Raw genomic sequence first — 6,339 nt, 5'->3', positions numbered from 1 at the left:
TACACCCACGTTTGGACAGCATGGTGTCCCTCTTTAAGCCACGTCTCAAATGGGCTCTGCTTTCAATCTGGTGCTGTTCCGAGTCCTGTGGCCTCTCCAGTCCAGACTGCTCCTCGATGAAATGAGGCCTCTGTACCAGCTGGTTATTGGGCCAGCTCTCCTGAGCCACTAAGTAGGTGGATTCCCAGGCCTCACCTCCTGGTGCACATGGTCAACAACATGAGAAACCCTGGCCTGGGTGGCCTCCAGGACTCCCTCGAGCTGTGATACACCACAAATCTGTGGCAAAACAGTGTGGGCTGTGTCATCCGAGCAGAGTGCCTCTCTCATGCCTTCTCTCTCTCTTGACCCGCTCACACTTCCTCCTCCCGGGCCACCATCCATGGCCTGGCCGGGATGCTGTCCCTTCACACGGACGAGCTCTCCACGACACTGCTGACATGGGAGCCCGAAGCAGAACAAGCGAGTTCAGAAAGAAGCGGAGTCGAGGCTGACATTCCAACATCCAGAAGCATTTTCTTGGTGCTCCTTTAAAATAAGACAAAATTGCCATGTATCAATAAAAATAAATAAATAAAAACAAACCAAAGTGTCTTAGCCCTTTGTCACTGCATTAAAACATATTTTATAAGATAAACTACCTTAACTATGCGTTAAGATACATTTTCTATTGTTTAGAACACTCCTTTTTTAAATGTGTTTTTGGAGAAAAGCTTTGTAACAGCCTATTTCAGTCTAAAAATATAAATACTTTCCTTTAGGAAGTCACCGCTCCCTTCCCCTCACATATTTGAGGAAATACTGCAGATCTAACTGCAATCATGCTAAAAAAAAAAAAAAAAGGAAACCCAACCACAAAACAAATCCCCTTCCAATGTTTCCACGGGAGCCAGTAAACAGCTAATGCCATGACGATGTGAGGTGGGCGGGGGCCTGGTTCCCCCCAGTGTCATGCACTACCTTCCGTTTTCTGCCGGTTGAATGTTAAATAAATCTACATGCAAATTCACAAAGAGCCCTTTCATTCTTGGGGCATACAAAAACGCAGAATTAGGCCTGAAGTTCTGAGTCCCTTCTACCTTCCATCGGCTGAATGAGCTACAGGAATTCACTTAATAGGCCTTTGGAAGGATCCTTCGTGGCAAACCCGACCGTGACCGCCACTGGGCCAGCCTCAGCGGGACCCCTCTGTCCTCCCGACTGCTCCCGTGCCCCAGCTTGTCTGAATTACGTGATGATCTGAGGCCAGTACAGAGGTAGGTCCTGGAGGGAGTGGTGACTGCTTTCTCTTTTCTTCAGCACATTTCAAAGAATGGCAAAGCACTTAGGAAAAGGTTTCTTTCAAACTTAATGCTGCTTAGGCCACAGGTACACATGCCTCGCTGTGTGATTGTTCAAGCCCTTAAGTCAACACAACAAGAATTTACAAGGCGCTGGCTGAGTGCGCAACACTATTAACAGCCGAAGTGAACACACACACACATGTTCATATTGTCGATCAAAGAGTTTTATATCCAATTAGGTAAGTCATTATTAATAAGTACAACACAATTGAAGGATAAAATAGTATGAATGCAATAAACTAATAACATCTGCAATATCACCTGAAAGTATCCCATTTGGGTTGAGTGTTTGGGGAAGGCTACTGCAGAATGAACAAAACAGAATAGCAATTAGTATACATTGGAATTTGATTGCAAACTGCCTTGTCCAGAGCTTTGCTCTGACACTTATGAGCTACAGGACCTAGGGCAAAATACTTAATCGATTTTGGCCTTAGTTTTCTCATCTGTCAAATAGGGATAAGACACATTCCTATCTCAGAAGGTTCTTATAAGAAATACACATACACACGTACATATTTACTCACTTATTGATAGTCCCTTTCCTCACTAGAATATAAACCCCATGACAATAGGAAATACTGATTGTTTGCTGCTTTGGTCAACTTAGCCAAGCTGGGACTGCATTTCCAGCATTCTCTTCCCTGCATGTTGCTGGGTTAGGGCAGACCACAAGAGAATTTTGCCCAATATTTGGGAGACAAAAGCAAGGGCTCTGCCATATCTTTAGGTTCTGAAGGTCAGTGCAGGCTCTGGGCAGTGTGGGAGCCACACACGTTGTCATTAATGTGCAAGCACATCCTGTCCCGTGGCCACCAGCCAGGCTCCTCCTTCTCCAGTTCCCACCAGAACATCCCTGCAGCTCCTCTGCGTCCCAGGCCAGGTGTGTGTGCAGCTCCTCGATGAAGGAGGCTCCACATCTCCTCCTGGTCAGTGTCACCATGTTGGAGCCAGTGAGGCAGACACAGGTTCCAGTTTGTTCTTGTGGGTCCCAGTTATCCTTGTGGGTTCCAGTGTGTTCTAGTGGGTCACAGTCTGTCCTTGCTGATGCCATTTCATACCTGGCTTTTCTTCCCCAAGTGGGTCTAGTAACCTACAAGGATTTCATCACCAGACGAAGACGCAACAGCCTTGCACTGACTCCTCCAGCAACTCCCACAATTGTGTAACGTCTAATCCCCAAAATGAATCCATTATTCCGTACCACTTACAGTGATTCAGCATCTCTGACTGAACCCTGCCTTCTATGGAAACCCGTGCCAGAAATCGTTTCAGAGGATGTGTCCTTGGAACCAGTTCTAGGCTACCTGAAATTGGTTCTCTGATCTGATTCAATTTTAAAGTGTTAGTGATTCTGTTTCCATCGGTAAAGAGGGTAACGGTCATGTATGAAACAAGATGGCAAAAGTGATTTTAATGATTTACCTATAGAGACCTGTCATCAAGTGCCTATAGACAGCAAGGCTTCAGGCCTGGCGCAGCGGCTCACGCCTGGAATCCCAGCACTTTGGGAGGCCAGGGCGGGCGGATCATCTGAGGTCAGGAGTTCAAGACCAGCCTGGCCAACATGGTGAAACCCATCTCTACAAAAATACAAAAAGTAGCTGGACATGACGGTGGGTGTCTGTACTCCCAGCTACTCCGGAGGCTGAAGCAGGAGAATAGCTTGAACCCAGGAGGCGGAGGTTGCAGTGAGCCAAGATCTCGCCACTGCACTCCAGCCTGGGTGACAGAGTGAGATTCCCTCTCAAAAAAAAAAAAAGCAAGCAAGGCTTCAGGTGACTATGTGTAGCTCCTGCCATAGAACACTTTACACATAATGGGGTTGCTTGCTGATTTTGAAGTGTTCTGCAGCACTTGGAGAAAGAAAATGATGAGCTTAGGGCTTTAAATTCCCAACTCAAGGTCTGGCTAAAGGACTAGAAATCTTCTATGACTGCCCTCCCCCTCGCCAAAAAAAGCATCTTTTCTTGTAGCTAGAGTCAAGATTTCTGAAAACCAAACCCAAAGTTCAATTCAATTGAATTTAACCTTACAGGATCTCCTTTGCTAAAGTTAAGGCAATGATTGGAAAGGAGAGGGACTCATAAAAATTGGGAAGGGAGTATGTAGGCATATTCGATGTGGCAGGGGGCCTGAAGTCCCCAGATCTGCCAAGTCTTCTTTGCTGGTAGAAGCAGCCCTTTTTAGCCTGGTTAAGGAGATTATTGTCCTCATGGCTGAAGGTCCTGCAATGGTCTCTTCTGAAGTGGTTGCCTTACAAAGGACTTCTGACCCTCCTTAGGAGGAGCAGTGGGTCAGGGTCAGCCCCACCCCCACCCGTTTCTCATTGATTCTAGAACAGACACAAATCCCAGCAGGCCCCAACAGGTATGAAATATAAGCCGTAAGATTATAATACACCAATTTATATCAACAGAAACCAGAAGGACATGTGTGGAAGCCCAATAAGGATGTTGGATCAGAAAGGAAGGAACACTATGTTGGACTGGACTAAATTTTTTAATATAAATATATAATAATGTATGTTACATAATATAAATTGAAACAGATTATTGATTCAATGCATTAGCTCAAGTGGCTGGGAGTGGTACTAATATTTTTCTTATTTGATTGACTGAAACTGGACCCAAGGGGCTACACTAAAACTTTAAAGAAATAGCAAAGAGAATACTTCCAGTACAGAATGAACATTAGAGGGGGAAAGGCAATATTTGTTTTAAGCATGTTTGGTCTTTAAGAATGAATGAAAAGAAATTGGTTATTTTCTTACCCACAAGCAGGAGATTTAGCCCTAGTGAAGTTCATCTCACTTTTTACACTAATTCCAAGTAGATCATGGATCCAGCACCACGGATCATTTTTTTCCCAGCCTTGTGCATCATTTTCCAATATTCTTGCCGACTGAAGTCTGTGAAATGTGGTTAATTTTAATGAGAGATTCTAATTAAATCCTTTAGCCATGCCAACACAGTAACCTCTTTCTCTTTCCAGGTCTCCCTCCTTTGGAACTAGTCTCTTGGGTTGAGTCCAATAAGCACATCATCTTCCCCAGCTCTACAGACTGGCTCCAGTTTTGAGACCTTTCAGACTTTTCCATTTTGTGATTTCTTAGCTTCGTGTGTTAGGGAAGTTTGAACTTCATTTGTATTGTCACCTTAATTAACATGGCTGGACCAGAATCCAGTAGACCACGTTAGTCAACACTGGACAAGGAGGAAGAGTCGGAGGTGCATGATCTCAGCTCTGAGGGTTATATGCATTCTCCCTGCTCATGTCCCAGAAACGCTTCATTCCTCGAGAGTTTCAGCAGAAAAAAGCCCTCATGAATCTAGGGAATGGCATTAGCTACATGAGTGTTTTTAAGTGGATTTTTGTTTCCAGATACTGCTCAGCCTCTTCAATTCTATTTCTTAACTTTAAAAAATTACAAACTCTTTCTTTTTTTTTTTTCTTTTTTTTTTTTGAGACAGAGTCTCACTCTGTCACCCAGGCTGAGTGCAATAGTGCAATCACAGCTCACTGCAGCTTCCAACACCTGGGCTCAAGAGATTCTCTAGCTTCAGCCTTCTAAGTAGCTGAGACTTTAGGTGCGTGGCACATGGCTATTTTTTTTTCTTTTTTCTTTCTTTTTTTTTTTTTTTTTTGTTGTTGTTGTTGTAGAGATGGGGGTCTCACTATGTTACCCAGGCTGGTCACGAACTCCTGGCCTCAAATGATCCTCCTGCCTCAGTCTCCCAAAGTGCTGGGATTACGGCCGTGATCCTGGTTTGGCCAACTTTCTTTTCTTCACAACTATTTTTTATATGAAGATTTGGCCCTTAGCATTAGAGCCTGGAAAGGGCAAAGAGGAACCGAGGATGATGAGAAGTTGGTTAATAGATACAGAATTACAGCTAGATAGAAGAAATGAGTTCCGGTGTTTTGTAGCACTGTAGGATAAATATGGTTAACTATCATTTATTGTATACTCTCAAAAAGCTAGAAGAGAGGATTTTGAATGTTCATAACACAGAGAAATGATAATCGTTTGAGGCAATGGATATTCAAACTAGCCCGATATGATCATTATACATTGTATGCATGTAATGAAATATCACTCTATATCCTATGAGTATGTACAATGATCATGTGTCAACTAAAAATAAGAGAAAACAGCATGTTAGCCCTCAAAATGAAATTTTTAAAAGGAGAACAATTATGCCATATCCTCTTAGGATCTGAATCTCAATGTGTCACCTACATGAAGGATTTTTTACAACTCTAGGTGTAAGTTGAAAGAGGAAAGTATCCTGAAAATCGTTGCCTAATGTTGGCATCCCTTATATTCCATATAAGCACTGAAATTACTCAAGGAGAAGGATTTGGTCTCTTTCTCTGAACCTACATAGAACTTGTCAATTTAATTTAATTTAAATTTATTTTAACCTATAATTTTTATTTTAATTCATTATCACACCAATATCATAGTGAGAGATTTGAGCTATCAGAGTGTGTGAAGGTTAATTCTGTATCTATTATATATTTAAAATATTTAATCAGAAATCTAAGGCTTGGTTAAATGTTGCAGCATGTAACTCCAACACATTCTAATTCCAACTGGTCAAATTATTAAAGTCAGAGCAACGTATTGCAGGTTTATGTTTTTCAATTTATAAAATAAGAAAAACAATATTGACCTCTTTTACCCCTGTACTAAAAGTGTGAACAGAGTTTTACGACACAACCTGCTAGTTAATTGCTTCATAATCTTGCATTGACTTATGCCACTGTAGCAATTTTATGCTGGTTCTTCCAGTATCAGAGCAGAGGTGTGGCTGCTCTGCTAAAATGACCTTTATCCAAGTTCCAACTTTAAACAACTCTGCTTACCAGTATTTGCAAACTGAAACATCCCATTAAAACCAAAGCAAACATCCAGGGGAGGATTTTGTATGTATATAAACTTTACTTGAAGAGATTTTCATTTTCTCCCATAAAGTGTAACAATAAGTAA

General features: G+C 42.3%; 1 long non-coding RNA gene across 1 annotated transcript; it reads left to right on the top strand.

Moving 5' to 3' along the window:
• Positions 1-884: 884 nt before the first annotated feature.
• On the top strand, positions 885-5,973 carry LOC124900824 (uncharacterized). Its single transcript, XR_007058412.1, has 2 exons — positions 885-1,256; positions 4,338-5,973. It is a non-coding gene; the product is annotated as an uncharacterized LOC124900824 (long non-coding RNA).
• Positions 5,974-6,339: the final 366 nt, after the last annotated feature.

The sequence above is a fragment of the Homo sapiens genome, chromosome 4 (assembly GCF_000001405.40).
Source record: "Homo sapiens chromosome 4, GRCh38.p14 Primary Assembly".
In the NCBI taxonomy this organism is placed as follows: Eukaryota; Metazoa; Chordata; class Mammalia; order Primates; family Hominidae; genus Homo; species Homo sapiens.
The sequence above is the reverse complement of the archived record's forward strand: the minus strand, read 5'-3'. Positions and strand labels throughout refer to the sequence as shown.